At 51.4% G+C, this 14,387-nt stretch overlaps 2 protein-coding genes across 4 annotated transcripts in view; both read right to left on the bottom strand.

The window, feature by feature from the left end:
- Window positions 1-6,155, bottom strand: part of ARHGAP8 (Rho GTPase activating protein 8) — a 110,210-nt gene extending 104,055 nt beyond the window's left edge. For all 3 annotated transcript variants that reach the window (NM_001017526.2, NM_181335.3, NM_001198726.2), the window contains exon 1: window positions 6,103-6,155. The gene's annotated coding sequence lies outside the window, so the exon portion shown is untranslated. The remainder of the gene's footprint in view (window positions 1-6,102) is intronic.
- The window catches only part of PRR5-ARHGAP8 (PRR5-ARHGAP8 readthrough), a 160,581-nt gene that overhangs the window by 104,055 nt on the left and 42,139 nt on the right, over window positions 1-14,387 (bottom strand). The gene's annotated exons all lie outside the window — the stretch shown is intronic.

Below are 14,387 nucleotides of genomic sequence, written 5' to 3'. Positions count from 1 at the left end.
TCACTCCCACCCCACTGCCTTTGCCCTGGCACACCGGCCTCCCGGCTGCCCCTCAAATACACCCCCCACTGCCACCTCACGGCCTTTGCACACGCTATGTTCCCCCCCTCCCCACTACCTGGAACGCACAGCCCTGCACAAAGTAAGTGAGCCACAGATGGTTTCTATTATCATCATTGGCTAAAGTCCAATTCAATGACTCAGTCTCAATTCAAATCTACCTCCTCACCGGCTGCCTGGGAAATTAAAGTGGGGATTCACGGAGCCCCCATACACCCAGCCTTGGCCTTCAGATGCCTCCTTTCTTTGAGACAGAATCTCACTCTGTCACCCAGGCTGGAGTACAGTGGCACAATCTTGGCTCACTGCAACCTCTGCCACACGGATTCAAGCGATTCTCCTGCCTCAGCCTCCCGAGTAGCTGGGTTTACAGGTGCACGCCACCACAAGTAGCTAATTCACCATGTTGGCCAGGATGGTCTCAATCTCCTGACCTTGTGATCTGCCTGCCTCGGCCTCCCAAAGTGTTGGGATCACAGGTGTGAGCCACCGTGCCCGGCCTCAGATGCCTCTTCACAGAAAGATCTGGTTACTCTTTAGCCAGGCTAAAGAGACCTGCCCTCCCTGCAGCCAGAGGAAACTGCCATGGGTCCCTGGAGAAGTTCAGGCAGCCCTGTGCCTCCCACCTGTTCCGACTCCCTCTGTGACCCCATCCAGGGATCCCCCTCTGTACCTCTGAGGTGGAGACCACTGGCTGCTATGAAAAAGCAGCACAGCCTGGGGGCGGTGGGTCATGCCTGTAATCCCTGCAATTTGGGAAGCCTAGGGTGGGCAGATCACTTGAGGTCAGGAGTTCGAAACTAGCCTGGCCAACATGGTGAAACCCTATCTCTACTAAAAATACAAAAAAAAAAAAAAAAAAAATTAGCCAGGCATGGTGACAGGTGCCTGTAATCCCAGCTACTCCGGAGGCTGAGGCACGAGAATCATTTGAGCCCAGGAGGCGGAGGTTGCAGTCAGCTGAGATCACGCCACTACACTCCAGCCTGGGTGATGGAGTGAGACTCCAGGTCAAAAACAAAACAAAACAACAAAAACACTCCAAAGGAGCAGGGGGTTAAAGTTTGGAAGGAATTTAAAAGAAAGATCAAAGGGCCAGGCATGGTGGCTCACGCCTGCAATCCCAGCACTTTGGGACGCCAAGGCGGGCGGATCACCTGAGGTCAGTAGTTTGAGACCAGCATGGCCAACATGGTAAAACCTTGTCTCTATTAAAAATACAAAATTAGCCAGGTGTGGTGGCGCATGCCTGTAATTTCAGCTACTTGGGAGGCTGAGGCAGGAGAATAGCTTGAACCCGGGACGCGGAGGTTGCAGTGAGCTGAGATGGCATCATTGCACTCTAGCCTGGGCAACAAGAGCGAAACTCTGTCTCAAAAAAAAAAAAAAATTAAATATTTGAGGCAATTAGGAATTTGAACACTGAGCATTGGCTGATATTAAGAACTTGTTGCTGCCGGGCACAGTGGCTCACACCTGTAATCCCAGCACTTTGGGGGGCCAAGATGGGAGGATCGCTTAAGCCCAGGAGCTCAAGACCAGCCTGGGCAACAAAGCAAGACCTCGTCTCTACAAAAATTTAAAAATTAACCAGGCAGGGTGGTGTGCACCTGTAGTCTGAGCTACTCGGGAAGGCTCAGGTGGGAGGATCCTTTAAGCCCAGGAGTTCGAGGCCGCAGTGAGCTATAATCACACTCTAGTCTGAGCAACAGAGCAAGATCCTATCTCAATAAAAGGAAAAAATAAAAAATTGTTGCTAATCGTTTTAAACATAATAGTATTGCAGTAATGCGGAAAAAAAAGTGAGGGATGGATTCAAGCTTGATTTAACATCACAATGCATACATATATCAAAACATCACATTGATCACTGTAAATGTGTACTATTTTTGTTTGCCAATTATGCCTAAATAAAGCTGGAGGAAAAAATAATTTTTTAGAAAAGGGATTCAACTTACAGTATTTATGGAGCATGAGGTCTGGGAGCTACTCTAAAATGATATGGGGAATAGGGAGGGGAGAGAAGGGGTGAGAGGGTGGAAGGGTGAGTTGCAGGAAGGGTGGGGGTAGGTGTATGGGGTGGGGGGGCGGGGTGTGGGGTGAGCACAGGCCAGGTTGGCTGCAGGGTGGCTATAGTTGACGCTGGGAGATGGCGGCTCATTGTACATCATTTGAGTGTCTAAAATTCTCCACAAATAAAAAGAACTGAAATGAAAAAATAAACCCTCTTATACAAAATGCAAGGAATTACAACAGCGTGGGGTCCGCTTTGGAGAGTCAGGTGGGAGTCCCAGCTGCAGGGGCCTCAGAGGTACCTTCAGGGAGCCCCACCCGAGTGCCACACGGGGTCAACCTTTCCTGTGATAACAAACTTGCAGCCCAGAAAAACCCACTGCCCCGTCTGAGTTTCCTTTGCTTGTTTTCATTTTACGGCCAGGTAGGGGAAGGGAGCGGGGAGCTACCCAGGAGTTTCAGGAATTCAGACCTGCCCAACCAGTTCCTTCTGGACAGTCACCGGCTCCACTCTCCTCCCCTGCAAAGTCCAGGCCACTGAAGAAAGAACTGTTTGGCCTTGGCCTTCAGCGTGGAAGGAGCAGGCTCTAAACAAAGCGCATTCTTCTCCCCAAGCAAGATCTTCCCCCAAGGTCAGGAGACAGAACCAAGACCAATAAACAGGAACACCTGCGCTTCTCATGCATTAACTCATTTAGTTCTCCTAATGGTCCTATGAGTCGGTAATGACATGGCCCCTATTTTGCAGACGAGGAAACCAAGCAGAGTGGACAGCAACTGACTCCAGGTCAAGAGAGAGGAAGGCAGGCCCCATCCCGGTTGTTAACCATTGCAGCGCCTGCCTCTCCTGAGCCCTGACATTATCCCCACCCCCCACTTCCCCAGCCTCAAGACAAACCGATGGTTTATGACACCCATCTGAGAGGTGAGAAAATGGGGGCCCAAAGACCTAACTTGGAGAGAGAGTCACTCAGCCAGGTCCTCTGCCTTCCAGGGACACAGAAATCTGGACACAACAGGCTGCCAGAAGCTCCAGGGAGACGCCCTGTGAAGGCAGCTGGGGCAGGACTCCGGAGCAGCGCGCTCTCCTGCAGCTAAGTCCCACAGTGCAGGGCCCAGAGGCTCTCCCCTCAAATGCACCCCAGGGAGGCCTGGGAAGCATCTGGACACACGTGATGCATCTTCCTTGAGCATCAGTTTTAATTAAAGGACCAAGGGGTAAAAGTTAAATAATTTGGAAAGAAATGGAAAACGTCTATTTTCTCTCCCCATGCTAATTTCACATAGATTTGAAGGGTAGTCACCGGCAGGCTCCGAATGGCTCCATCTTACACCAGACACCAGCTCCCATGTGGGAGGCACACCTCAGTGCCCAGGGAGGTGGCTCAGCACAGTGTGTGTGGGAGGAAGGTGGGGACACGGGGAACACTGTAGCTGCAGCACCGCTGGCTTCCAAGCCTGGCTCTCTAATCACTAGCCATGGGACCTTAACCTTCCTTGTCTGTTTCCTCATCTGTGAACGGGGCAGTAACAGTCCGTGCCTCCTGATGTGAGCAAGGAGTCAGGCAGCCAAGTGTGCAGTGAGGGTTTCATGGCCATTTGGTGACCACCATCGCAGTGGGGAAGGACAGCCAATAGCTCCTTTTGCAGATGAGGAGGCTGAGTGCCCCAGAAGGAGAGTGACCTGCCTAAAAACCAGGTCTGCTGACTCCTTCTCCATCTCTTTCTCACCCTCATGCTGCCTGTGCCTCAGTTTCCCTATCAGTGAAATGAGGGTAAAATCAGGGAATGGGATGGGTTTTTTTTAATGTGGTGAAACATACTGTCAGGCACCTCCAGGACCTGAGTTCCTTGCTCTCGTCTCTTTAACCGAAGCCGCCTTTAACTCCATCGTTTACAGTGTGCCCATGAATAGCTCAGCCTAGAACTGGCTTGTTAGGCAGATGGCATGATGTCCCAGGCATGTTTAAGTCAAGTAAGTTTCAATGACTCGGCCGGGTGTGGTGGCTCATGCCTGTAATCCCAGCACTCCAAGCACTTTGGAAGGCCAAGGCAGACAAATCGTCTGAGGTCAGGAGTTTGAGACCAGCCTGCCTAACATGGTGAAACCCCACTTCTACTAAAAATACAAAAATTAGCTGGGTGTGGTGGTGGGCGCCTGTAATCCTAGCTACTCTGGATGCTGAGGCACGAGAAGCACTTGAACCAAGGAGGCAGAGGTTGCAGTGAGCTGAGATCGTGCCATTGCACTCCAGCCTGGGCGACAAGAGCGAAAACTGCGTCACACACACACACACACACACACACACACACACACAAAGTTTCAATGACCCAATGATGTTATCCAAGTAAATTGGCCCACCCCGTCAGGCACTCCATGGACTTTTCCACCCGTACCTCACAAGCGAAGTATCCCTAGCCAGTAGGTGCCATTCTCTTCCCCATCCACCTCCCATCCACCTTCCAGCTCAATGGCCACCTCCTCCAGGAAGCCCTTCCTAAGCTCCCACAAACCCTTGGATTCTCTCTACACAGAAGCCAGACTCTGGGCCCCTGAGGGCAGGGACCAGGCAGCTGGCTGTCCACAAGAATCAGCTGGGCTCAGGCCCACATCCCATGTCCCTCTTCGCCCTACCCCCAACTCTGGCGTTGGTTTGGGGAATGGTTAGTCAGTGAATCGAATGAGGAGTCCACAAACATGATCCTAAAGCTGCCAACAGAGAGGCCAACCAAAGGACATCGACTTCTGAAACGGCTGAGTCTTAAGCATTGAGTTCTCAGCTGGACAAATGCCAACACTGCATTTCACAGGCAAGCGAGGGACGGCACAGAGCTCTCTGGAATCTACACAGCCTCTGTCACAAAACCCTGAAGTCGGTGGCCAAGGTGCTGTCCCCATCCCGCCAAACAATCCCACCCTCCTTCCCGGGTGGACTCTGCGGTTCCTTCTCCGGGGCCTTCACACTCCTCCCAAGGCAGCGGAGAAATTTCCAAGTCAGGGTGTGGCAGAGCCCGAGGGATTCTCAGGAGCCCCCCCACCCCCCACAGGATTGAGGGAAAGTGAAAGGCAGGGCCTCCCTGCCTTCCTGACGACCTCCGAGGCTGCTAGCGGATTGGTTTAAACTTTGGGCTTTTAGGCCGGGCGCGGTGTCTCACGACTGTAATCCCAGCACTTTGGGAGGCCCAGGAAGACGGATCACCTGAGGTCAGGTGGTCGAGACCAGCCTGGACAACATGGTGAAACCCTGTCTGTACTAAAAATACAAAAAATTAGCTGGCATGGTGTCAGTCCCTGTAATCCCAGCTACTCGGGAGGCTGAGGCACAAGAATCGCTTGAACCCAGGAGGCGGAGGTTGCAGTGAGCAGAGATGCAACACTGCAATCCAGCCTGGGGACAGAGCAAGACTCGGTGTCAAAAAAAAAAAAAAAAGTTTCTGCTTTTAACTCCCGGGGGGTTCCACCGCTGTGTGTTGAACCGGCCAGCCCCCCACCCCCTGAGTTTGAATCAGCGCAGCACCTGCCCCGGCCTCCGTTTTCTCATCTATGAAACGGGAATGACCTCACCCACCTTGTAGGTTTGGGGTGTGTGGGGGCGGGGGAGGTGCCTCCCCCAGGCGCTGACCCGACCTAACCTGAGACCCCAGGACGGAAGCAAAAAAGGAACATTTGAGCTGACACCGTCCGGCCAGACCAGACCAAAACGCAGGCTGAGAGAGGCGAGGGCGGGGAAGGCGGTGCGGGGTGAGAAGGAACAGGACAGGGGAAAAAGCAGAGGAGGGGAGTGTGGGGGGGCGGGAAAGAAAGGAGGTGAAGGGAGAGGGAGTCTAGAACCCACAGGGGACCCGGAGGCTGCGCGCCGGCCGGAGGGTCTCCCCCCGGCCGCACGTGGCGTCGCGCCCGCCTGGGCGTCCCTACCCGGCCAGCGGCCCCTTGTCCCCGTACACGCCCTGGGAGCCCCCGCGGCGCACCCCCCCACCCCGAGCACGGCCTCCTCCCTGCGCGCTCCCTCCCGCCGCCGCCCGCCTTACCTGGCCACGGACCCCGCCGGCCCCCACCTGCGTGCCGGGTCTGCCGCTCACCTGGCCCCTCCCCGGACGTGGCTCCCGGGCAGGCCCCGCCCCCCCGCCCCTCCGCCCAGCCCCGCCCCTCCGCCCCTGCTACCCGGCGGGAGCCATTTCCCAGGTGCACGAGCTGACCCTGGGTCCACCTGTGTGTCGGGGGGACAGGGCGGGGTCGGGCGGAGCACACGCGCTCAGGAGCCCCTCGCACATCGCACCCTGGGCACCCCGATTCCCGGCTGGGCCGCGTCCCCGTCCCGCACGGCACCCATGCCTGGGGCGGGCACTTTCTTGCTGATCCATTTCCCCATTTCTTATTTTATTTATTCATTATTTTACTTTATGTATGTATGTATTTATTTATTTATTTTGAGACGGAGTCTCGCGCTGTCGCCCAGGCTGGAGTGCAGTGGCGCGATCTCGGCTTACTGCAGCTTCAACCTCCCGAGTTCAAGCGATCCTCCCACCTCAGCCTTCATAGTAGATGGGATTACAGACGTGCGCCGCCAAGCCCGGCTAAGTTTTGTATTTTTAGTGGAGACCGGGTTTCACCATGTTGGCCAGGCTGGTCTCGAACTCCCAACCTCAAACGATCCTCCCGCCTCCACCTCCCAAAGTGTTGAAATTACAGGCGTGAGCCACTGCGCCGGGCCCCATTTTTAATTTTACTTTTTTGAGACAGGGGTCTCGCTCTGTTCAGGCTGGAGTGCAGTGTCTTGAACTTGGTTCACTGCAGCCTCTACCTCCTGGATTCAGGCGATCCTCCGGCCTCAGCTTCCCGAGTAGCTGGGACCGCAGGTGTGCACCACCATACCCAGCTAATTTTTGTAGTTTTTGTAGAGACAGGAGTCTTGCCATGTTGTCCAGGCTGGTCTGGAACTCCTGGGCTCAAGTGATCCACCCTCCTCAGCCTCTCAAAGTGTTGGGATTACGTGCCTGAGCTACTGCACCTGGCCCCTTTCGTTAGGGGTGTACAAAGCGTGGCAGAACTGGGAGAATTGGAGGGACTTGAGAGGAAATTTTCCCTAGGGTTTGTTGAAGGATTTGTATCTGAGGAAAGCAGCTTAGATACAACAAAATATATCAGGCCCAGAGAAACAGTAGTATAGGACTTCAGTCCAGGTCCCCCTGCAGTGCTTGGGGGGCCATAGTTTTTTGTTTGTTTGTTTGTTTTTTGTTTTTGTTTTTAGAGTCTTGCTTTGTTACCCAGGCTGAGAGTGCAATGGCGCGATCTCAGCTCACTGCAACCTCCACCTCCTGGGTTCAGGCAATTCTCCTGCCTCAGCCTCCCAAGTAGCTGGGATTACAGGGGCCTGCCACCATGTCCAGCTAATTTTTTGTATTTTTGGTAGAGACGGGGTTTCACCATGTTTGCCAGGCTAGTCTTGAACTCCTGACCTCAAGTGATCCACTCACCTCGGCCTCCCAAAGTGCTGGGATTACAGGCATGAGCTACCGCACCCGGCCGTGGGGGCCATGGTTTAAAGGCATTTTGTTCCTGACTCACTGCCTCACCCATTATCTGCATGTTCCTGCAACTTGTGATACAGAGAAAAATGTGTAGCCAATCAACAACTTATTATTTTTATTTTTATTTTAGATTCAAGGGGTACATGTGCAGGTTTGTTAGGGGATATATTGGGTGACACTGAGGTTTGGTTTTCTGTTGATCTCCTTACCCAGGTAGTGAGCACAGTACCCAATAGGAAGTTTTTCAGCCCTTGCCCTACTCCCCCCACCCTTCTGGAGTCCCCAATGTCTTTTGTTCCCATCTTTATATCTGTGGGTACCCAAGGTTTAGCTCCCCCTTAGAAGTGAGACATGTCATATTTGGTTTTCTGTTTCTGCATGAATTCACTTAGGATAATGGCTTCCAGCTGCATCTATGTTGCTGCAAAGGACAAGATTTCATTCTTTTTCATGACTGCATAGTATTCCATGTTGGAAATGTACCACATTTTCTTTATCCAATCCACTATTGATGGGCACCTCAGTTGACCCCATATCTAACCTATAGTGAATAGTGCTGCTATGCACATATGAGTGCAGATGGCTTTTTGGTAGAAAGATTTCTTTTCTTTTGGGTGTGTACCCACTAACGGGATTGCTGGGTTGAAGGGTAGTTCTATTTTAAGTTCTTTGAGAAATCTCCAAGCTGCTTTCCACAGTGGCTGAACTAATTTACATTCCCACCAACAGTGTATAAGTATTCCCCATTCTTTGCAGCCTTGCCAATATCTCCTATTTTTTGACTTTTTAATAACAGCCATTCTGTCCAAAATCAAGATGCTGGCAGAAAAAATAATAATAATAATAGCCATTGACTGATGTGAAATGGTTTCTCCTCGTGGTTTTGATTTGCATTTCTCTGATGATTAGTGATGTTGGGCATTTTTTCATGTTTGTTGGCTGCTTGTATGCGTGTATGTCTTCTTTTGAGAAGTGTCTGTTCATGTCTTTTGTTCTTTGTTTTTTTTGAGACAGAGTCTTGCCCTGTCACCTAGGCTGGAGTGCAGTGGCGCCATCTCGGCTCACTGCAACCTCCTCCCCTGGGTTCAAGCAATTCTCCTGCCTCAGCCTCCCAAGTGGCTGTGATTACAGACACACGGTACCACACTCAGCTAATTTTTGTACTTGTAGTAGAGATGGGGTTTACCATGTTGGCCAGGCTGGTCTCAAACTTCTGACCTCAAGGGATCTGCCTGCCTGGGCCTCCCAAAGCGCTAGGATTACAGGCATGAGCCACCGTGCCTGGCCCCTTGCCCACTTTTTAATAGGATTATTTTATTCTTGTTGATTCATTTAAGTTCCTTATTGTTTCTGTATATTAGTCCTTTGTCAGCTGCATAGTTTGCAAATATTTTCTCTCATTCTATAGATTGTCTGTTTACTCTGTTGATAGTTTCTTTTTGCTATGCAGAAGCTCTTTAGAACAATTTACTTTTTTTTTGTTTGTTTGTTTTTGTTTTTTTTTGAGACAGAGTTTCGCTCTTGTTGCCCAGGCTGGAGTGCAATGGCTCAATCTTGGCTCACTGCAACCTCTGCCTGCCGGGTTCAAGCAATTATCCTGCCTCAGGCTCTCAAGTAGCTGGGATTACAGGCACCCGCCACCATGCTCGGCTAATTTTGTATTTTTAGTAGAGACAGGGTTTCACCATGTTGTCCAGGCTGGTCTTGAACTCCTGACCTCAGGTGATCCACCCACCTTGGCCTCCCAAAGTGCTGGGATTACAGGCATGAGTCACTGCACCTAGCCAATTTATGTTATTTTAATGTAAATTCTTGGTAAACAATTTAGGAACTGCCTCTTCTTTTCCTTCAAAAACCTACTTGTAACTGTTGCTAATCACAGTGAATATTCAGGGCAACTTGAATGTATACTCCCAGGTTGCAGTCCTCAAACTTGACCCAAATATATTCTTTTTTTTTTTTTTTTTTTTTGAGACAGAGTTTCGCTCTTGTTGCCCAGGCTGGAGTGCAATGGCGTGATCTCGGCTCACTGCAACCTCCGCCTCCTGGGTCCAAGTGATTCTCCTGTCTCAGCCTCCCAAGTAGCTGGGATTACAGGCATGCGCCATCACGCCCAGCTAATTTTGTATTTTTGGTAGAGACGGGGTTTCTCCATGTTGGTCAGGCCGGTCTCGAACTCCAGACCTCAGGTGATCTGCCTGCCTCGGCCTCCCAAAGTGCTGGGATTACAGGTCTGAGCCACCGCGCCCAGCCCCCAAATATACTCTTACTTGTATTGATTTTGCCTCGGTTTTTTCCTTTGGATCAACGACTCCCTGCCACAATGATTATTTCAGGTTCTGGAAGGAACTGGGCCTGTGCCAGTCACCCCAGGCCTTCCTCCGGCCACAGTGAGCAGTTCAGGTCAGAGTAACTGGACTTTGCCTGGATGGCTGGGGCTTATTGTGCCCTCTCTTTCTCTCTCTCCAAGCCCTGATGACAAAGCCTGGCACATGGGGAGTGCTGGTGTTGCGGATAAAAAGAGATCTTTTCCTCAACCATGGCTGGGTTCATGGCTGAGGCCCCTATAACAAAAGACAGATTTATCAGAGAAAAACCTACACACGTGTTTAATGTACGTTTTATGTGACACAGGAACTTTCCTAAGGAAATGAAGGCCCAAAGCAACCGGCCAATGTGTATTTCTATGCTTCGGTTTGATGAAGACCAGACAATTGCAGAGGGGTCTGATTAGAGGATGTATGAGTCCATTCTCACGCTGCTGATGAAGACATAGCCCCCATGAATAGTTGGGACCCCCCCCCCCAGCACCCTTGCTGCCCACCAGGCCTTTCCAGAGGCTCTCGGGCAGTGGTTTCTCCTTCATTTCAGAAGAGATTAGAATGACCCAAGCTGGCCGGGCGTGGTGGCTCACGCCTGTAATCCTAGCACTTTGGGAGGCCGAGGTGGGTGGATCACCTGAGGTCAGGAGTTTGCGAACAGCCTGGCCAACATGGTGAAACCCCGTCTCTACTAAAAATGCAAAAATTAGCTGAGCGTGGTGGTGGGTGCCTGTAATCCCAGATACTTGGGAGGCTGAGGCAGGAGGATCCCAGCTACTTGGGAGTCTGAGGGAGGCACAAGGGGTGCATTATCTATGGGTTTTCCGGGAAAGGGGTGGGCAATTCCTGGAACTGAGAGTCCACCCTTTTTTAAACCATATTGGGCAACTTCCTGATGTTGCTAAGGCATTTGTAAACTGTTATGGCACTGGTGGGAGTGTCTTTTAGCATGCTAATGAATTATAATTGGCATATAATGAGCAGTAAGGATGACCAGAGGTCACTTTCATCGCCATCTTGGTTTTGGTGGGATTTGGCCAGCTTCTTTACCACATGCTATTTTTTTTTTTTGAGATAGAGTCTCACTCTGTCACCCAGGCTGGAGTGCAGTGTCGCCATCTTGGCTCCCTGCCACCGCCGCCTCACGGGTTCAAGCGATTCTCCTGCCTCGGCCTCCCAAGTAGCTGGGATTACAGGCGCGCTGCCACCACACCCAGCTAATTTTTGTATTTTTAGTAGAGACGGGGTTTCACCATGTTGGCCAGGCTGCTCTCGAACTCCTGACTTCAGGTGATCCACCCGTGTCGGCTTGTTAAAGTGCTGGGATTACAGCTGTGAGCCACCATGCCCGGCCCTGCATGCTATCTTATCAGCAAGGTCTTTGTGATCTGTAGCTTGTGCTGACCTCCTATCTCATCCTGTGACTAAGAATGCCTAACCTCCTGGGAATGCAGCCCAGTAGGTCCCAGCCTGATTCTACCCAGCCCCTATTCAAGATGGAGTCGTTTTGGTTCAAACATCTCTGACAACATGAACGGACAACCTCCATTTCATTCTCTCAACACTCAAGCAGCTGCCTTATTCCTGAGCAAAGAATTCGTAGCCATCCTAGCCTGTGGCCTGTTCAACTAACACAACACAATTTGTGTGTTATTATTTTATACTTTCCCGGCTCTCGAAGGACTTGAAGTGGTAACACTTCATTGCTCTCAAAACATGACAAGGAAGTCACAATGTCTTATTCCAGCAACGTACACACACTGGATCGTTTTCATCTGGCGCTGGGTGCAGGGTTCTCTTTTCCTTTTGTGGAATGTAAACATCTTTTATATTACCAATGTAAGATCCGGCCCTCATGAAAGAAGGGCAATTTGCAGGGTTTCTGTTTTAAAAAGCGACTTTGGACGGGAGTAAGGGAAACTCCCCCCGCAGTCGGCCTACGGCTGGCAGAATAATTTCACAGTATTAAGAGATGTCAGGGGAAATACCACCCTCCTTGCATTTGTGTTTTGTGAAAATCTCATACAAATTTCACCCCATAGCTTAGCGATATTAACATACATACAATAAAGCAACAATACCGAATGATTGTGTGGCAAAGAATGCAGGTGTGTTCTGCCATTCATAATCAAAGGAAAAAGAAATATAAAAGAACTGTACAACCCAGGCTGGTTCCCCTTTCAAGTTCTTTCTTCTGTTTTTTCCCAAGCACTGTTTAATCAGTAATCAACCAGTTAGCCATTTCCTTTTGTTGCTATCTCAATAACTCCTTGCATTTCAAATGCCTTGCGATAGAAAAGAAGGAATAATCATGCAAAATAAAGGAATTACATCTGAATGGTATTATTCTTAGCTTTATTAAATTTGCTCTTACAAATGTTTCTGAAGTCGGAGAGTTGGTTCTCCCCCAAGCAGCAAATTCCACATTAATAAGCGCTTGGGGATGGAGAATTTCAAGGAGGAGGGAATAAAAGATCTATGTCCAAGGTCTTGGGCTTCCCGTTTGTTTTCTCCGGAATTAACTCAGCCTGCCAGCTTCTTGAGCTAAGACTTGGCCTGCTTTTAACCTTATTAAAACCACAAAGCCAACACTACCCCCCAGTTTGGGTGTATGACTGCCAGGTTAGGGCAAAAGGGATGTGGAAGATCTTCTTCCAACCCTCTCCCTTTATGGGCCAGGATCCTGGGATCCAGTCGGTTAAGGGGCTTGCTTTATCCCTATGTAGCCTGGCCCAGAACCCCAGGCAGGTTCCCTGACCCCTGCCCGTCTACTACGTGCCCTGGTCCTGTGTCAGAGCAAATGCATTGTGTGGTTAGTACCGCCTGCAAACTGCCTCCACTGGGTTTTCTGCGATCTTTGGGTCCAATAATGGAAACCCTCCTGATTTGCAGCTGAGGTGGCCATGCTCCTGCTGCCCTGGTTGACAGCAGGGTGGACGCTGATCTTGTGCACCGACCTGCCCACCCCTCAAATGCCTTTACCATACTGGCACTACCGACCTTACAGACATCTCACAGCCCCAAGGTGGCCTGACAACGGGTTTACCCGGTCCCTTTGCCACCAGGGACCAGACAGTGACAGACTGCACCATTGTGATGTCCACCCTGAGAGAGGAGGCTGCCCTAGAATTCATCACCCAGCGATGCCCAGCTTGGGTGGTGAGGGAGGACACAGTGGCTACAAAGTGAAGTGCCTGGAACACAATGGGTATTGGCGCTGGTGGCAGTTGGGTTTGGTCCAGCGTAACTGGGGCATCTCTGTGTGTGGGGAGCATCTGTGCAGCAAGAGTATCCCCACATGATGGGTGCCTCTCTGTGCAGTGGTAGCATCTGTGCAATGGGATCATCTGTGCCGTGGGATCATCCCCATATGATGGGCGCCTCTCTGTGTGGTGGGAGTATCTGTGCAGTGGGAACATTTGTGCAGTGGGAGCATCCCCATATCATGGGAGCCTCTCTGCATGGTGGGAGTATCTGTGCAGTGGGATCATCCCCATATGATGGGCGCCTCTCTGTGCGGTGGGAGCATCTGTGCAACGGGAGTATCTGTGCAGTGGGAGCATCCCCATATGATGGGCGCCTCTCTGTGCCGTGGGAGCATCTGTGCAGTGGGAGCATCCCCATATGATGGGTGCCTCTCTGTCAGTGGGAGCATCTGTGCAATGAGATCATCTGTGCAGTGGGAGCATCTGTGCAGTGGGATCATCCCCATATGAAGGGCGCCTCTCTGTGTGGTGGGAGCATCTGTGCAGTGGGAGCATCCCCATATCATGGGTGCCTCTCTGTGCGGTGGGAGCATCTGTGCAATGGGAGTATCTGTGCAGTGGGAGCATCCCCATATGATGGGCGCCTCTCTGTGTGGTGGGAGCATCTGTGCAATGGGAGTATCTGTGCAGTGGGATCATCCCCATATGATGGGTGCCTCTCTGTGCCGTGGGAGCATCTGTGCAGTGGGAGCATCCCCATATGATGGGTGCCTCTCTGTGCGGTGGGAGTATCTGTGCAATGGGAGTATCTGTGCAGTGGGAGCATCCCCATATGATGGGTGCCTCTCTGTGCCGTGGGAGCATCTGTGCAGTGGGAGCATCCCCATATGATGGGTGCCTCTCTGTGCGGTGGGAGTATCTGTGCAATGGGAGTATCTGTGCAGTGGGAGCATCCCCATATGATGGGTGCCTTTCTGTGCCGTGGGAGCATCTGTGCAGTGGGAGCATCCCCATATCATGGGTGCCTCTCTGTGCGGTGGGAGTATCTGTGCAATGGGAGTATCTGTGCAGTGGGAGCATCCCCATATGATGGGCACCTCTCTGTGCTGTGGGAGTATCTGTGCAATGGGAGTATCTGTGCAGTGGGAGCATCTCCATATGATGGGCACCTCTCTGTGCTGTGGGAGCATCCCCATATGATGGGTGCCTTCCCCGTTCGGTGGCTGCAATGCTGCCGGTTTCCCATCAGGCCCACTGT

Source organism: Homo sapiens, chromosome 22 (genome assembly GCF_000001405.40).
Source record: "Homo sapiens chromosome 22, GRCh38.p14 Primary Assembly".
NCBI lineage: Eukaryota > Metazoa > Chordata > Mammalia > Primates > Hominidae > Homo > Homo sapiens.
The sequence above is the reverse complement of the archived record's forward strand: the minus strand, read 5'-3'. Positions and strand labels throughout refer to the sequence as shown.